The sequence below is a fragment of the Homo sapiens genome, chromosome 1 (assembly GCF_000001405.40).
Source record: "Homo sapiens chromosome 1, GRCh38.p14 Primary Assembly".
Lineage (NCBI taxonomy): Eukaryota > Metazoa > Chordata > Mammalia > Primates > Hominidae > Homo > Homo sapiens.
The window spans coordinates 245,804,845-245,824,026 of NC_000001.11; the positions used below are offsets into that span (position 1 = coordinate 245,804,845).

Sequence of the window (19,182 nt, forward strand, 5' to 3'; positions counted from 1 at the left end):
TCTCAGCCTCTCCAACTGTGCTGAGTAACTTTCTGTTGTTTATAAATTACCCAGTCTGTGGTATTTTGTTGTGGCAGCACAAAGATACCCACCACATACACAAAAGCTTATGATGCTGGACCAACCCATCTCAAAATGTTGAACTGAATCACAACAAGCAAGACCCATTTCATATCAAAACTTCAAAAAAGCTTTGGCTTCTAGTCTGATTCACAAGTACATGCGTTCAAGGCCCAAGCAGTTAAAACCCTGCACAGATAAATTGTAAGAGCCTGGGTAAAAGAAAATAGAATTTCCTGGTAAGTGAGAATGAAAAAAAAAAAAAAAGTTTACCACATGTGTAGATTTAACCAGTACGTTACTAATGCAGAGAAGGGAAGAATCAGGCTATTTCATAATCAAATGTTGATAATATAAGAGAGGGGCAAGTTTATTATGTCCTCATCAGAAGCAAGAAGCTGGATGTCAGGTATACTGTGAAAAATTGCACAAGCCAAGACCTAAGACTGGATTAAAATTATCAAATTGTTATTAGATGAAAGTTACTAGAATATTGTCAGATTATCCTAACCATAAGAGTAGCAGAACAGTACTCAATGTTTCTAATCAGTTTTGTCTATTTTCTGAGCTGGTTAAACATTTGCTGATGTGCAATTTGTAAAGTCACAGCCATCTGTTCATTTGTGTCTTAAGTCTTCCTGCATAAATTCTGCTCTTTTACCTGTTTTGGGGAAATAAAAGTTTATTTTAATTTACTGCCAAAATTTGTGGCACAGGAAAGGGATAGGTTGAAACCAAAAACTATTTTGCTTTTTTACCATCTATTAGTCATCCTTTGAAAAATCAATATTCAGTGCTCACCCCGTCTGTGGCTCCAGGCAATCAAAAGAAAATTGTGTACTGTCCCCATTCAGACTGATGATGCATTGTGCCATTATCCTGTGAGCTAATATGAGATTCAGTATCTGCTGTCTTACCTGACAAATAAGCCTTCAGAATCCAGGCTTGGGCACATTATTTGAAGAATCTGCAGCTTTAATATAATTTATATTCCCAAGTTCCTTCTACTGCTTCAGTATATGCAGCATATGACTTGAGATAGAAGGATAAAGAAACCAGAATGATTCTCTTCTTTCCTACCCCATCATCTGATCAATTCTGGACATTCCTTTCAACCCTGTGGCCATCTATTACAAGTTGAGTGCCTACTATGTGTCAGAGAATATGTTAGCTGCTGGGAAGACAGTTATGAAGAAGACGGGGTCTTTCCAGTTGTTCAACTTTTTTTGCTACTCATAAAGAGGATAAAAGAAAGAGAAAGAAGAGAAAGAATTCCAGTCTGTTAGGAAATATTATAAAATTACTCCAAAGTGGGGATGCAGAATTAAAATATACCAGAAGTAAAAAAGAGAAATGCTGATGTTCTATTTCATGATCAATAATAAAAACAGTAACAGCTTATATTTGTTGAATGCTTATTTTTTGCCATCCATATTGCTAGGATTTGTCTTACTTAATCCTTATCACAACGCTGTGAGGTAGGTACTGTAAATAAATCCATTTTAGAAATGGGAAAACTGAGGCTCAGGGAAGTTAAATTCCATGTCTACAATAAAATATCTCAAAGCAATGGAGTTGCCGCAGAAACCTACCTGCCTCCGATACCTGAACCCTTCCTTGCTATGCTATATTGCAGGAACTTGGCCCTAAACTGACACCTTGCCAACTTGGGATACGTGTTATTTCTAAAGATGAACTTTCAAAGTGGGTTAAAAGAGGGAGAAGGCCGGGCGCGGTGGCTCACGCCTGTAATCCCAGCACTTTGGGAGGCCGAGGCGGGTGGATCATGAGGTCAGGAGATGGAGACCATCCTGGCTAACAAGGTGAAACCCCGTCTCTACTAAAAATACAAAAAATTAGCCGGGCGCGGTGGCGGGCGCCTGTAGTCCCAGCTACTCGGGAGGCTGAGGCAGGAGAATGGCGTGAACCCGGGAGGCGGAGCTTGCAGTGAGCCGAGATCGCGCCACTGCAGTCCGCAATCCGGCCTGGGCGACAGAGCGAGACTCCGTCTCAAAAAAAAAAAAAAAAAAAAAAAAAAAAAGAGGGAGAAAAATGGTAAGACATATCTTCCTAACAGTTAGAAATGAACAGAGAAATGAGTCAGGATTGAGGACAGGGCTGAAGGTGTCTTCTGGGACCAGTCAAGAGTGGGGTGTGGTCAGGCTGCTGCTGCTCACTCCTCCTCCCACGCAGCACCCACAGGCTGCATGGTGCAACTGGGAGGCTTGCTGGAAAATGGCAAGTCCTGCTGCAGGCGGGCTACAGTGGGCAGCCCTCACCTCCACTCCTGGCCAAACTGACCAGGGCCACTCTCCTTACACAGAGACCATGCTGCTGACCAGGTCTCTCTGGGGCCATCAGCCTCAGGTCAGCAAAAGGTCTTACAAAAGTCAAGAAATTGCTTATGATTACAGCTCTGCAATGCAAACGCGTTTTTACCAACAAAGAAAAAAAAAAGGTTGGAGAGGAAGAAGAAGAGAGAAAAAGAAACATTTGGCCAAGGCCAGAAAGGGTCCACCGAAGTCAGCCTCCGAACTTCCGGTCCAATGTTGACACCTTGTTCACTGGTGACAACTCAGGACTGTACCCCAAATTACACAATGCTACTTGAGGGAAGCAGGCCTGGCAGCAGAGAGAGAATTACCGGCACACATTAGTGAGAGCAATCGCAGCCAACTCAAAACCGCACTCGAAAACGGCCTTGCATTCATGGACTGGTAGTTACTTCCTGGTTTCTAAGAAACCAAATAAAATTAAAACTCACCATTAATAACAAAACAACACTTTACAGTCCCCCCTTCCCTTTCAGAGACGCATCAAGTGACGGCACCTGATCAAAGCTGAATTATTAAAAGTCTATAGATTAATCCTGTAACTCTCAAGAGCCCAGAGTTTGTAATTTCCCAGGGAAAAAAAAAAAAAACAAAAAACAAAAAAACAGAAGCAATCTACACCGTGAAAAATTTAATTGCACTTTAATTACCAGTTAAGCTGAATAGCATGAGATATGGGTGCCTTTAATTTTTAATAGTCGTTATGATTCCAAGAGAATTTTAAAGGGAAATAATTTAATCTCTTGAGAGTATTCTCCTCTTCTGCCACTGCCAAAATCAAAATGAGGACAGAAAAAAATGTAAAGGGCGATTCAAATTCTTCCAGATCATAACCCAGGACGGCCCCCAGCAATAATAAACTGGCTGTTCCCAGGCAGCTGCACTGCACATTTTCATGATATGCTAATATAGAAATGGGTTTCCTGCAGTTGAGTTCTGGTACATTAAGCAGATAAACGCCCTTGGCTGGGGTGTTTCTTTTTTAAAATCAGATCTAAAGATGGCATACTTGTTTCTTTGTCTCTCAGAGCCTGGCACCAATATGGGCATGCATACCCCCACCTACGTAACACACATACACAAACCTGGGCACCCATATACACATACTCTTCCACATGCTGCCATGATGCCCCAAAACATCCTTTTGAAAGGAAAAAGGGAAGAGGGTAACACAATCACACAAGGCTCCAACAAAAATGGAAATCAGCAGGTCTGAGAATTCAAAAGGAAATAAGCGTAGCCTCCACTTTCACTTTATCTGAGAACCACCTGACTCAGGAAGGAGCTGGCCTCTTGAGAGCTGGTGCAGGAGGGAGCCGCCTGGACCGGGTGAGGCTGGCCACTTTCCCCTTTCTCAAGCACACACTGGCCTTCTCAACTTGCTGAGGCTCTTGAGGTTTGCCTGTTGTGCAGGTGTAGTTGTCTCCATTGAGGCTGCAGTGTGCCTCAGCCTCTTCTTGGGGATGCTGTCCCATCCCAGGACAGTGCTTTTTTTTGGAAATAAATTAGGTTGTGATTTCTTTTTTTTTTAGTTTTTATTTGTGAGACAGAGTCTCATTTTGTTGCCCAGGCTGGAGTGCAATGGCACGATCTCAGCTCATTGGAACCACTACCTCCTGGGTTCAAGCGATTCTCGTGCCTCAGCCTCCCGAACAGCTGAGATTACAGGCATGCACCACCACACCTGGCTAATGTTTGTATTTTTAGAAGAGATGGGGTTTCACCATGTTGGCCAGGCTGGTCTTGGACTCCTGACCTCCGCCCGCCTCGGCCTCCCAAAGTGCTGGGATTACAGGCGTGAGCCACTGCTCCTGGCCGGTTGTGATTTTAAGAAGTCAGACTGGGCTCAAAAGGCTTTTCATGAGGTCTCCAAATAACTCAGGGCTCTGTACTGCCTCTGGTTCCTGCTGCTCACTACTATCAAACACATAACAAGTATGGGCCTTGTTATTAGTGATCATTTGGTAAATCAATTACAATTTCATCTGTCAGGCAAATAAGAGAAGAAAAAACCTGCAGAACCATCTGCCACTTTTCTCTTCTCCAACTGTGCACCCATTTCCTTTCTCCAACCCTCTGTATGAAACCTGCACTGACAGACAGTGCTATGCCAGGCTTTCGGGGATTTGTCTGTGTCTCCCTCAGGGACCAATAGCACCCACCTCAGTTGGGACCCACAGAGAAAGCAGGAGAGGCGCTTTCTTCCCAAGCCCAGTGAGTTCAAAAGGAGGAAGGAGTAGAGTTCTAACTTTGTGAACCAAAGAAGTGCCCCTCCCTGAGAACCCTGCTGTTGTTCCTTTGTGTGGCAGCTGGTCATACAGACAAAAACACTCAGGTGAGAGAGAACAAGGAGTGCAACGTCAGGAAGGCATTGTTTAGATTCCCAAGTAAAGGCTGAAAGCTTGGCGTGGTTAGGAGGCAAGACGCAGAAAACATCCTAGTGCGGGCACAATTGTGCCTGACCAGGACAAAAAGGGGACAATGAAAAGAGGATCCTGGCCAGGCCAGCACAGAGGAGCTTCCCAGGGCCACACTGCTCAGGGACAATTCCCTAGTGAGACAGAACTGCAGACTGGTGGCAGAAGTTTCTCTGTATTATCCTTGACAACTTATTATTGTAAAGATTTGGAATTAGCTGTACTGAGTCTTCATCATAGATGACAGGTTCTCTCTCATTGTCATTTTCACAAAGTCCCAAGATAAAGAGACCCTCCAGGTAGCTGAAATGCAGGTACCCAATTTACCACTGGAGCCAAGATTTTGGTTTCAGAGGGGACAAACGAGGTAAGTAGTACTCATTGGGTACCATCCATTTCACCACCAGAAACCAATTTCACCAAGTTTAACAGTTCTTCCTGCTGCCTGGGCAGGAGGCGGCCTTGTCTCTTTCCGCAGTACTCTGGGAGTCTACCACAAGGCAGCAGAGCCTTCGAGTTAGAGCAGCTCTTTGGAACAAACATCACCTCTCTTGCTAGGTGAGGCCTCTCACCCAACAGGCTGGGAGAGGCTGTCACAGAACTCAGAACTAAGAGCCTACAACTCATTCTGCAGCTCAAGTATGAGACAGGCTCACTGTACAGCAATTTGTACTGGTGATCCCTCCCCTGGGGATGACCCCCATGACTCTGGCGCCCTGAGGCAGGGCACCTGTTTCAGAATCCCCCGCTAATCCTCCTTACTCCCTTCCCAGAACTCTAAGCATCCTTGTACAGATGGCATTGGTACTGGCAAGACTGTGGTCTGTGAGTAGTCAGGAAGCCAGTCGACAGCACCTACTCTGTTATTCACCCAAAGCCTCTGTCTCCACTGCAGCCACGGAGTTGAAGGCTGGTGGGGGCAGGGTTTGGGGAGTGATTCAAGAACTGATCATCCCTCTGACCTGCGCTATGGACCTGAGCAGCAGTTTCAGGTGTGAGGAGCGTGGAAAAGGGAAAGCCTCTTAGAGCTTATGTGTCTAGCCTGGGTAAGCCCCAGGACCAGCATCAGAATTCTGTAATTTGAATGAGAACTGAGCTGAGAACTGCAGAGAAAGACGCACTTTTCAAAGAATTCCCCAACAGCAAATTGAAATATGGGCACGATGCTGAAAAGAGATGAGGCTGCCAAAGCCACGTGGCCGAGCAGACGGAGGGAGTGCAGTCTCCACACTGAGGCTGACTGAAAACATAAATAACTAGGCAAGATTTTTCAGTAGCTAGTGAGGTTATCACATACTCTGGACAAAATCCCTAGTGCTCATTACACTTCTGATATGATTTTCTCACCTCTCTCCAGGCTCACTGATGCATCTTCCAATTCAACATGGCTTCTTGCCTCTGAAAGGAGAGCTAGTCCCTCCTGGAATTTGTAAGTGTGAAGGCTGTGTTTCAGCTGTCACGTCTGGTGTATCACTGATGCCTATTCCTGTGGCCTTTCCAGTTTCCCAGGGTGATGCAAATGAACACCGTGCAGCAGGTAAACAGAGCGCTGAAGTGCAAAGTACAGCTCTTATTTATAGATCAAACACCTGCCATCAATTTAAACAGTAGTTATCTCTAACTTGAAAGTTTAGCAAGATACTGAATGCCCCCTTGAAGCAAATAATTTTGAAGCAGTTCAGGTATACAGATGTGTTTCCAGCCTACTTAAGAATGCTATAATTATCATCAAAAAGACAGATTCCATTAACTATCTGTTATGCTTTCTGTATGTGTACTCCCAGACAGATTTGAAATGTTGAAAGTCTTGGGTTTCTTAGCACTATACTTTTAACATTATTTTTTTAAAGGACTGGGCTTAGGATCTTCTGAATTTGGAAAAACATCTGATGAGAGGTTTTTGGAACAGTTAATGATCTAATGTGGCCGTTCTTGTCATTTTGCCTTTACAACCACAGTTCCATTTCCACCCTCTCTCTACCAGACACATAAAAATTTCATATTTGGAAAAAGCTATCTTCCTAAACACAGATCAGTGAGGAGTGAACACATCTCTAATCACAAATGGCCAATAACCACTATTTCTTGAAAGTTAAAAATCAGGTGATGTGCTGTACAGGTGCTCTATGGATACTGTTCCATTAATCTTTTTGATGAATTCTTGAAAGGTTATCTTCATTTTACTGATGATATAAACTGAGGCTCTGAAAGGTTAAGCATGCTGCCTGAAATCACCCACCTAGTAAATGGAAGAATTTACATTTGAACATGGGTCTGTGTCCACTCCGAAGCCCGTTCTTCCTACTGCATACAACACACTAGCACAGAAGATGGTCCTCTTTCTTTGCTTAGATTGTTTCAAAATTGATTTTCCATTTTCAGGGATATGGAATGTCATTCTGGAAGTAGGTGATAATTATGTTCGGTGGCTTGAGATTGGCATGATCTCCGGGATACGAGTCTGCAGGCCACATCAGCCAGTCACGTGTGTGGGCAACTCACTTTACCTCGGTGGACCTTTTTCTCTCCCAGAAAACCATAAGGATGGATTGAAGGACTAAAGTCCAACAGTTAAAACTGTTCCTTTTAATTCTAAAATCCTCTGAGTGTATGAACTGCTTCACCTTTGCATAGAGGACAAGCTTGTGCTCAGGAGGGCCTGAATTATTTCAGTTCCCTGAATGTGCTGGCCCTCCTCATGCAGGAGCTGCCCCAGGGTTTGTAAACCTTCCCCTACTACCAGGCACCACCACTGCTATCTGATGGCCGCACAAAGGAATGAGTGAACACCGTCAGGAAGACATTGGTCCTGTGCTCTACGAGAGGGTGTGCCCAACCACCACTGTCCTCTCAGCATCCTCCATTGTGACCAACGTCACCAGGGCTGCCCGAGGAAACCCTAAGAGAGGGAGGGGTATTTTCCGTGAAAACACACCTGGATGCAGGTCTAGGAAACCAACCCCTGGTCAGAGTAGCCCAAGAGAGAACAGGCCCATGCCCAGTGCTTTGGTAAGAATGACAAATTCTTACTTCTAAACAACAGTTCCAAAAAAAAAAAAAAAGAGAAAGAGCGAGCGAGAGAGACAGAGAAACTCACTCAGTAGCAGGAACTGAGAAGAAAGGGGTCACTCACTCACTCAGAGTGGGCTGGGAGGGAAGGCTTCATCATTTATCAGGATATAGTCATGAATACCTCTTTTTCTTCTTTGGAAAAATACAGACTACTGTGGGTGAGTAAATCTCATCTAGTGGGCAAGCCGGAGTTTGATTTGAGCAAAGAATAGAGGGGTAGTTGGGGTGAGGAGGTGAGGAGGAGAGGAAGGCATGGAGCCATGGTCATGAGACAGCTTCTTTTTTTTTTTTTTTTTTTTTTTTTTTGAGACGGAGTCTCGCTCTGTTGCCCAGGCTGGAGTGCAGTGGCGCGATCTCAGCTCATTGTAACCTCCGCCTCCCAGGTTCAAGTGATTCTCCTGCCTCAGCCTCCCAAGTAGCTGGGACTACAGGCGCCCGCCACCACGCCCGGCTAATTTTTGTATTTTTAGGAGAGACGGCGTTTCACTATGTTGGCCAGCCTGGTCTCGAACTCCTGACTTTGGGATCCACCTGCCTGGGTCTCTCAAAGTGCTGGGATTACAGGCATGAGCCACCGCACCAGGCCTAGACAGCTTCTTTCATTTGAAAATGTTCTCTTAGATAAAATGTATAAGGGTCAACATGCAGCACACAAGCAAACCTCCTTCCCCCAGGTGCAAGCACAGCAGCTGGCCTGAAGATAAGAGTTAAATGAATCCAGCCCCCTGAAAGGAAGGTTGTCTATGCTACAGAATCAAATCAGGAAGAAAGGAAGCTATTCTCTCACCTAAGGGCATTGAGAAAGGTACATGAATAGTAATTATCTAAAAAGAGATAATCAACAAGGAGTCAGAAGGGCAAAACCCTGTCTAACTAATCTACTTCACCTTTACAGCAAGGCTGAAGACTAGGTGGGCAACAGCGCTGCATGTCAAAGGGTTTACTGTGATTTCACAAAGCTCCATAGAAAGCCTCCAAATGAAGACTGGCAGGCTGGGAAAGTCTCTGAAACCATGAAGAAAAGGGACTAGTGGAGGAGCTGCCCTCAAGAGAAAGGCAAGATGTTGAGTTTAGATGGCCTCAGAATATTAAGCACCTAACCTGCTCTGTCATTTAGGTTAATTCATGGAGCCCTATATATATATATATATATATATATATATATATATATATATATACAGATGAATCACTGGCATGAGATCAGCTAAAATATTCATTGTAGTTGCTTTTAGGTGATTGTAGATTTCTTCATTGTTTCACCTTTTCCGTATATTTTTAAATGACAGCAAAATTTTATAATAAAGTTTTTATAATAAATTTATTTTTATAATAAAGAAAAATAAACAGAAGGCAAATTGATATCCTCACATAATGTGGGAGCTACAAAAGGGATCCTAAGTCAAAGTTAGTGCCCTTCCTGTCTAGCCTGGGAGGAAAACGTGACTATTAAATTAATTACTGAATATGATGTGAACTGCAGTTCTGAGGACAAGGACCTGCATTTCTGGTCTACTCCTGTTTTGAAGGTAAACAATTTAATAATTTCAGTGTATAGCTACCTCCAATTATCCAAACCACTGTCTTCATAGGAATATAAGAAAATTAAGGTAGATACCTGAAGCAGCACCAGGAATCAGGACAGATAGAGCTCAGTTTTTTAAAAGAAGATTCTTTCCTGGTCTTCTTCAACTGGGGGCAAAAAAAAAATAAAAACGAAAAAATAAACAATAAAAATAAATAAATAAAATAAAAAGAATGCTACTGTTACACCACATACTTGTTTTAAAGTCTTGCCCTTCTAGTACTGACTACACGCGGCCCCAGGGACCTGTGAAATGGATGCTGCTGCAAGATTTTATTTAAACAACATCTTGATCTTCTGTGCCATGTGACTGGCATTGCGGAGAAGCTGCTCTTTCTAAAGGCTTCAAGGTCACTTAAGCTTGTGCCGGCTCTGCTAAGAGCTCCGATGAGGAATAAACTTTAAGATCTTCTACTAGACAGAATTTTGGAATTCCCAGCAGACCTGTTTCCCTTGGCTTCCAGATCCTCTCAAATGACCTTATCCCTTATCCCACCATGCACACACACACACGCACGCACACACGCACACACATGCACGCACACACACGCAAGCACACACACACGCACGCACACACGCATGCACACACACACACTCTATCTTCACTGAAGGCTCCCAAGACATCTTCCTCACAAAACACACAAAACAAAGACAGCTGTCCATTGGTGCTCAAAATAAATGAAGGGTAAACTAAGCCCACAGACACCATGAGGTGAGGTGATATCAGAAAGCCAGAGCAGGACAATGGTCTTGATCCATCCGCTAAATCTTTAGGTACAACCTCCAAGGAAAATGACTTTCAGTCAAGCCAGGCAACTATTGCTACCAACAATAAAACAGAAGATGCTTTTACACTCATGGCCCCAGCATTGTTTCTCACAACTAAAAGAGGCCAAACATCCCAACCAGAAAAAAACACAAACACACACAGGAAGCAACTGTTAACAAATGGAACGTGATAGTGGCAGAGCCCAGAAGAGCTGTTGGTTAACTCAACACGAAGGAGTCCTTGCCTCTCATTCAGGGGTGCACACAGACATGACCCTACCATGCTTTTCCTTCCATCCCAATCTCCATGGTCATCTAGTCCAAGCTGTACGCTCTAGTTTTTCTCAAAGTGGAGCTTATGGGTAACCTCCATCAGAATAGCTGGGGAGCTAATGACACATGGATCCCAGATCAACCAAGGGGATTTTAGAGACATGGGGCCTAGCCCCCAAGTGACTCTGATGCATATTAAGACTTGAGCATCACAGGTCAAGAAGTACACAGATCCCAGTTATCAACATAGCCAGATGGCTGGTGGTAGAAGCAACCCTGTCCCTGTAGCACCTCTCTGTGTCCTGCTCAAAAGCATTAAAACATCATTCTTAGATAAGAACAGAGACAAAGGATATGTCTTTAACACTTTACAGTCTATAAAGTTTTTCCACAGCCACTGTCTCACTGAATCAACCCCTAAGAGACAGAAATGAAAATCGCTGTTTTTACAAACTGAGAAATTACGGGCCTTTGAAGTGTTTCACAGCCTTCACAGCCTGCTGGTAAGAAGCAGAGATCAGGCCTTGGACCTGGGTCTTGTGATTCCAAAGCCCATGATCCTTCGGATTCATCAAAGCTCCACTCCAAGTGCCTACTGGGACTGCCTTGCAGCACTCACCTTCTGTAGGTGAGTAGGTAAGTTGCGGCATGCCATTCTTTCAAAAGAACAGTGCACCTCTGTGACCGAATATGGGCCACAGTATCTCAAGGATATTTTGGTCAAAGCCCTGGGGTGTGGGGCAGAAGATAATGTATTCAATGAAGCTTCTAGAGAAAAGCATAATAAATAAAGAAGCTCCTACCTGTCGCTAGCCTTCCTAAATATCCCAAGAAATCAAGAATTTTCTCCCAATGGATTACAGCTGAGCATCTACTCAGAAGAGAAAATCAAGTCCATTTCAGTTTAGACGGCAGCAGCAAACTCCCCACAGAGAGTACTCCCGGGGTGGCTAGGGGGTGGACAGTGCCATTACTGTATCAATCAGGCCAAGGAGTGGGGCTTGCACTACTGTTTGCTAGAATGGAGCTTGGCTCTAAAACAGGATTCTCAGACACATTTCAGAATAGGACGACTGGAACAATGCAATACTCATCTAAGCAACTGCAAAAGCCAGCTACAACCCAACTCAAGGTGCCATCTATTATGAGAGGTCCCCTTCATCTATGTAAAAAAAAAAAAAAAAAAAAAAGAGGAGCCAAGATGGCCGAATAGGAACAGCTCCAGTCTACAGCTCCCAGCGTGAGTGACATAGAAGACGGTGATTTCTGCATTTCCATCTGAGGTACCGGGTTCATCTCACTAGGGAGTGCCAGACAGTGGGCACAGGTCAGTGGGTGCGCGCACCGTGCGCGAGCCGAAGCAGGGTAAGGCAATGCCTCACTCGGGAAGCGCCAGGGGTCAGGGAGTTCCCTTTCCTAGTCAAAGAAAGGGGTGACGGACGCACCTGGAAAATCGGGTCACTCCCACCCGAATATTGCGCTTTTCGGACCGGCCTAAAAAACGGCGCACCACGAGATTATATCCCGCATCTGGCTCGGAGGGTCCTACCCGACGGAGTCTCGCTGATTGCCAGCACAGCAGTCTGAGATCAAACTGCAAGGCGGCAGCGAGGCTGGGGGAGGGGCGCCCGCCATTGCCCAGGCTTGCTTAGGTAAACAAAGCAGCCGGGAAGCTCGAACTGGGTGGAGCCCACCACAGCTCAAGGAGGCCTGCCTGCCTCTGTAGGCTCCACCTCTGGGGGCAGGGCACAGACAAACAAAAACACAGCAGTAACCTCTGCAGACTTAAGTGTCCCTGTCTGACAGCTTTGAAGAGAGCAGTGGTTCTCCCAGCACGCAGCTGGAGATCTGAGAACGGGCAGACTGCCTCCTCAAGTGGGTCCCTGACCCCTGACCCCCGAGCAGCCTAACTGGGAGGCACCCCCCAGCAGGGGCACACTGACACCTCACATGGCAGGGTATTCCAACAGCCCTGCAGCTGAGGGTCCTGCCTGTTAGAAGGAAAACTAACAAACAGAAAGCACATCCACACCAAAAACCCATCTGTACATCACCATCATCAAAGACCAAAAGTAGATAAAACCACAAAGATGGGGAAAAAACAGAACAGAAAAACTGGAAACTCTAAAAAGCAGAGCACCTCTCCTCCTCCAAAGGAACGCAGTTCCTCACCAGCAACGGAACAAAGCTGGACGGAGAATGACTTTGATGACCTGAGAGAAGAAGGCTTCAGACGATCAAATTACTCTGAGCTATGGGAGGACATTCAAACCAAAGGCAAAGAAGTTGAAAACTTTGAAAAAAATTTAGAAGAATGTATAACTAGAATAACCAATACAGAGAAGTGCTTAAAGGAGCTGATGGAGCTGAAAACCAAGGCTCGAGAACTATGTGAAGAATGCAGAAGCCTCAGGAGCCGATGTGATCAACTGGAAGAAAGGGTATCAGTGATGGAAGATGAAATGAATGAAATGAAGTGAGAAGGGAAGTTTAGAGAAAAAAGAATAAAAAGAAATGAGCAACGCCTCCAAGAAATATGGGACTATGTGAAAAGACCAAATCTACGTCTGATTGGTGTACCTGAAAGTGATGGGGAGAATGGAAACAAGTTGGAAAGCACTCTGCAGGATATTATCCAGGAGAACTTCCCCAATCTAGCAAGGCAGGCCAACATTCAGATTCAGGAAATACAGAGAACGCCACAAAGATACTCCTCGAGAAGAGCAACTCCAAGACACATAATTGTCAGATTCACCAAAGTTGAAATGAAGGAAAAAATGTTAAGGGCAGCCAGAGAGAAAGATCGGGTTACCCTCAAAGGGAAGCCCATCAGACTAACAGCGGATCTCTCAGCAGAAACCCTACAAGCCAGAAGAGAGTGGGGAGCAATATTCAACATTCTTAAAAAGAATTTTCAACCCAGAATTTCATATCCAGCCAAACTAAGCTTCATAAGTGAAGGAGAAATAAAATACTTTACAGACAAGCAAATGCTGAGAGATTTTGTCACCACCAGGCCTGCCCTAAAAGAGCTCCTGAAGGAAGCGCTAAACATCGAAAGGAACAACCGGTACCAGCCACTGCAAAATCATGCCAAAATGTAAAGACCATTGAGACTAGGAAGAAACTGCATCAACTAACGAGCAAAATAACCAGCTAACATCATAATGACAGGATCAAATTCACACATAACAATATTAACTTTAAACGTAAATGGACTAAATGCTCCAATTAAAAGACACAGACTGGCAAATTGGATAAAGAGTCAAGACCCATCAGTGTGCTGTATTCAGGAAACCCATCTCACGAGCAGAGACACACATAGGCTCAAAATAAAAGGATGGAGGAAGATCTACCAAGCAAATGGAAAACAAAAAAAAGGCAGGGGTTGCAATCCTAGTCTGATAAAACAGACTTTAAACCAACAAAGATCAAAAGAGACAAAGAAGGCCATTACATAATGGTAAAGGGATGAATTCAACAAGAAGAGCTAACTATCCTAAATATATATGCATCCAATACAGGAGCACCCAGATTCATAAAGCAAGTCCTGAGTGACCTGCAAAGAGACTTAGACTCCCACACATTAATAATGGGAGACTTTAACACCCCACTGTCAACATCAGACAGATCAACGAGACAGAAAGTCAACAAGGATACCCAGGAATTGAACTCAGCTCTGCACCAAGCGGACCTAATAGACATCTACAGAACTCTCCACCCCAAATCAACAGAATATACATTTTTTTCAGCACCACACCACACCTATTCCAAAATTGATCACATAGTTGGAAGTAAAGCTCTCCTCAGCAAATGTAAAAGAACAGAAATTATAACAAACTATCTCTCAGACCACAGTGCAATCAAACTAGAACTCAGGATTAAGAATCTCACTCAAAACCACTCAACTACATGGAAACTGAACAACCTGCTCCTGAATGACTACTGGATACATAACGAAATGAAGGCAGAAATAAAGATGTTCTTTGAAACCAACAAGAACAAAGACACAACATACCAGAATCTCTGGGACGCATTCAAAGCAGTGTGTAGAGGGAAATTTATAGCACTAAATGCCCACAAGAGAAAGCAGGAAAGATCTAAAATTGACACCCTAACATCACAATTAAAAGAACTAGAAAAGCAAGAGCAAACACATTCAAAAGCTAGCAGAAGGCAAGAAATAACTAAAATCAGAGCAGAACTGAAGGAAATAGAGACACAAAAAACCCTTCAAAAAATTAATGAATCCAGGAGCTGGTTTTTTGAAAGGATCAACAAAATTGATAGACCGCTAGCAAGACTAATAAAGAAAAAAAGAGAGAAGAATCAAATAGACGCAATAAAAAATGATAAAGGGGATATCACCACCGATCCCACAGAAATACAAACTACCATCAGAGAATACTACAAACACCTCTATGCAAATAAACTAGAAAATCTAGAAGAAATGGATAAATTCCTCGACACATACACTCTCCCAAGACTAAACCAGGAAGAAGTTGAATCTCTGAATAGACCAATAACAGGATCTGAAATTGTGGCAATAATCAATAGCTTACCAACCAAAAAGAGTCCAGGACCAGATGGATTCACAGCCGAATTCTACCAGAGGTACAAGGAGGAACTGGTACCATTCCTTCTGAAACTATTCCAATCAATAGAAAAAGAGGGAATCCTCCCTAACTCATTTTATGAGGCCAGCATCATTCTGATACCAAAGCCTGGCAGAGACACAACCAAAAAAGAGAATTTTAGACCAATATCCTTGATGAACATTGATGCAAAAATCCTCAATAAAATACTGGCAAAACAAATCCAGCAGCACATCAAAAAGCTTATCCACCATGATCAAGTGGGTTTCATCCCTGGGATGCAAGGCTGGTTCAATATACGCAAATCAATAAATGTAATCCAGCATATAAACAGAGCCAAAGACAAAAACCAAATGACTATCTCAATAGATGCAGAAAAGGCCTTTGACAAAATTCAACAACCCTTCATGCTAAAAACTCTCAATAAATTAGGTATTGATGGGATGTATTTCAAAATAATAAGAGCTATCTATGACAAACCCACAGCCAATATCATACTGAATGGGCAAAAACTGGAAGCATTCCCTTTGAAAACTGGCACAAGACAGGGATGCCCTCTCTCACCACTCCTATTCAACATAGTGTTGGAAGTTCTGGCCAGGGCAATTAGGCAGGAGAAGGAAATAAAGGGTATTCAATTAGGAAAAGACAAGTCAAATTGTCCCTGTTTGCAGACGACATGATTGTATATCTAGAAAACCCCATCGTCTGAGCCCAAAATCTCCTTAAGCTGATAAGCAACTTCAGCAAAGTCTCAGGGTACAAAATCAATGTACAAAAATCACAAGCATTCTTATACACCAACAACAGACAAACAGAGAGCCAAATCATGAGTGAACTCCCATTCACAATTGCTTCAAAGAGAATAAAATACCTAGGAATCCAACTTACAAGGGATGTGAAGGATCTCTTCAAGGAGAACTACAAACCACTGCTCAATGAAATAAAAGAGGATACAAACAAATGGAAGAACATTCCATGCTCATGGGTAGGAAGAATCAATATCGTGAAAATGGCCATACTGCCCAAGGTAATTTACAGATTCAATGCCATCCCCATGAAGCTACCAATGCCTTTCTTCACAGAATTGGAAAAAAACTACTTTAAAGTTCATATGGAACCAAAAAAGAGCCTGCATCTCCAAGTCAATCCTAAGCCAAAAGAACAAAGCTGGAGGCATCATGCTACCTGACTTCAAACTATACTACAAGGCTACAGTAACCAAAACAGCATGGTACTGGTACCAAAACAGAGATATAGATCAATGGAACAGAACAGAGTCCTCAGAAATAACGCCACATATCTACAACTATCTGATCTTTGACAAACCTGACAAAAGAAGCAATGGGGAAAGGATTCCCTATTTAATAAATGGTGCTGCGAAAACTGGCTAGCCATATGTAGAAAGCTGAAACTGGATCCCTTTCTTACACCTTATAGAAAAATCAATTCAAGATTGATTAAAGACTTAAATGTTAGACCTAAAACCATAAAAACCCTAGAAGAAAACCTAGGCATTACCATTCAGGACATAGGCATGGGCAAGGACTTCATGTCTAAAACACCAAAAGCAATGGCAACAAAAGCCAAAATTGACAAATGGGATCTAATTAAACTAAAGAGCTTCTGCACAGCAAAAGAAACTACCATCAGAGTGAACAGGCAACCTACAAAATGGGAGAAAATTTTTGCAACCTACTCATCTGACAAAGGGCTAATATCCAGAATCTACAATGAACTCAAACAAATTTACAAGAAAAAAACAAACAACACCATCAAAAAGTGGGCAAAGGACATGAACAGACACTTCTCAAAAGAAGACATTTATGCAGCCAAAAGACACATGAAAACATGCTCATCATCACTGGCCATCAGAGAAATGCAAATCAAAACCACAATGAGATACCATCTCACACCAGTTAGAATGGCAATCATTAAAAAGTCAGGAAACAACAGGTGCTGGAGAGGATGTGGAGAAATAGGAACACTTTTACACTGTTGGTGGGACTGTAAACTAGTTCAACCATTGTGGAAGTCAGTGTGGCAATTCCTCAGGGATCTCGAACTAGAAATACCATTTGACCCAGTCATGCCATTACTGGGTATATACCCAAAGGATTATAAATCATGCTGCTATAAAGACACATGCACACGTATGTTTATTGCGGCATTATTCACAATAGCAAAGACTTGGAACCAACCCAAATGTCCAACAATGATAGATCGGATTAAGAAAATGTGGCACATATACACCATGGAATACTATGCAGCCATACAAAATGATGAGTTCATGTCCTTTGTAGGGACATGGATGAAATTGGAAATCATCATTCTCAGTAAACTATCGCAAGAACAAAAAACCAAACACCGCATATTCTCACTCATAGGTGGGAATTGAACAATGAGATCACATGGACACAGGAAGGGGAACATCACACTCTGGGGACTGTTGTGGGGTAGGGGGAGGGGGGAGGGATAGCACTGGGAGATATACCTAATGCTAGATGACGAGTTAGTGGGTGCAGCACACCAGCATGGCACATGTATACATATGTAACTAACCTGCACAATGTGCACATGTACCCTAAAACTTAAAGTATAATAATAAAAGAAAAAAAAAAAAAGCCACCGCCAGCATGCCTCTAGTTGCTGCCTCAGTCTGAGGAGCTCGGCTGTTTTACTGCTGACACCATCTTATGGTATCCTTTGCACGATGCTAACTTCCTCCGCTGAGGGTGAAGCCTCACTTACCATTCTCTGCAGCAATCCCACCAACCTCTCATCCAGTGACTCTAGTGGGGCCCTTTCACTGGGCCCACTTTGTACTTGGCTCTCCATAGTTCCTCTTAACTCCGTGATCAAAAGACATTTTTACATGTGTTATAAGCCTCTTTTAAAAAAATCTTCCTAGGAAAGACTCTCTTCAAATCTCTACTAGAACAGGGCTGCATCCAAGTGAGTCCTTAATAAATAGAATTTGATCATGGTAAGAAGACATGTCCCCTGCTCGTGTTCTTGTCAGTCCTGAATGGGTGAGGCAAAGTGCTCAGACACTGTGCTAGCAAAGGGATTTTCAGTCTCTGCCTCCCTAATTATGACATTCTTTTTCTGCCTCCCACAGGCACAAGGGCCCTGACGAGGGAGTGCTCAGTTCTTTGGTGTGAAATATAGTAAGATAGAGGCCATTGGCTTCAGAGGAATAGAGCTGGATAAAAAAGTACAAAAGGAATGTGACCAGTAACAGGAATGGCATTTAGAGGACCTGATTCATCTCTTCTACATTGTTCAGGACGATTGCAAAATCCATTTCTCCTTCTCTGTCCCTGCTTCTCTGCCCTTCCCCCAAGCTTTCTTGCTCTCTGCCACACGTGCGTGTGCACACACACACGCGCGCTCGTGCTTGCTCGCTCTCGCTCTCTCTCTCTCTTTTCTAAGGCTCCAGGCATCCGTCCCTGGAGAAGTGCACCTTGGGAAGGCGATGAAATGAAAGAAGGGCACATCCTCCTTTAACCCCAAACATCTGAAGTCAGCGCCGCGCACTACTGCGATTTCCTGGGCCAAATGCATTGTTCAGGCAAAGCTCCCATTCATGTCAACAGTCTCAGCAGGATTTACCAAATTCAGCCATATGGACAATATTCACAGATACTCATTCAAGAAGCTCTCACAGTTCCAACTTCCACCTTGTTGACTCTCTCTCATCTGTTTTTCCCACAAGTCGTTCAATTCAGTTGTTGGGCAACCGTTCAGGGAAGCCTTTAAGTAGAGATTTCTGCTCTCTCATTGGGCAGAAGAGAGGACAGGCAAAACAGTGAGACCGCCAAATGAGGAAAGAAAATTGGAAGCACTTCTCTGATTTAGTACCAAACTTGCTCCAGGATAAAACTGCACTATACCAAAAACTCTGGCAGGGTATCAGGTACTATGGGGTGGGCAAAGTTCCCAGGTTTTACTTCCAGAGCTGACTGCACCAGGGAGACCCACGTGCTCCCGAAGGCACCGCACGCAGGGCAGGGCATGGCCAGAATGACAGCAGATGTCAGCTCTGGACTCTTAAGGACCCAAAGGTCCAGGGTCACATT

General features: G+C 43.6%; 1 protein-coding gene across 19 annotated transcripts in view, besides 4 other annotated features; it reads right to left on the minus strand.

Moving 5' to 3' along the window:
* Nucleotides 1-19,182, minus strand: part of SMYD3 (SET and MYND domain containing 3) — a 757,933-nt gene that overhangs the window by 55,498 nt on the left and 683,253 nt on the right. The window lies entirely within an intron of this gene.
* Nucleotides 2,409-2,568: an enhancer, noted in NCBI's record as "active region_2850". NCBI's record gives its function as "activates an Ori minimal core promoter by ATAC-STARR-seq in GM12878 lymphoblastoid cells {active_cell/tissue: GM12878}" and the evidence as "EXISTENCE:reporter gene assay evidence [ECO:0000049][PMID:35858748]".
* Nucleotides 5,871-5,960: an enhancer, noted in NCBI's record as "active region_2851". NCBI's record gives its function as "activates an Ori minimal core promoter by ATAC-STARR-seq in GM12878 lymphoblastoid cells {active_cell/tissue: GM12878}" and the evidence as "EXISTENCE:reporter gene assay evidence [ECO:0000049][PMID:35858748]".
* Nucleotides 11,374-11,989: an enhancer, noted in NCBI's record as "H3K27ac-H3K4me1 hESC enhancer chr1:245979520-245980135 (GRCh37/hg19 assembly coordinates)". NCBI's record gives its function as "activates a minimal SCP1, AML or CMV promoter by ChIP-STARR-seq in primed H9 embryonic stem cells {active_cell/tissue: H9 hESC(primed)}" and the evidence as "EXISTENCE:reporter gene assay evidence [ECO:0000049][PMID:30033119]".
* Nucleotides 11,990-12,604: an enhancer, noted in NCBI's record as "OCT4-NANOG-H3K27ac-H3K4me1 hESC enhancer chr1:245980136-245980750 (GRCh37/hg19 assembly coordinates)". NCBI's record gives its function as "activates a minimal SCP1, AML or CMV promoter by ChIP-STARR-seq in naive and primed H9 embryonic stem cells {active_cell/tissue: H9 hESC(naive and primed)}" and the evidence as "EXISTENCE:reporter gene assay evidence [ECO:0000049][PMID:30033119]".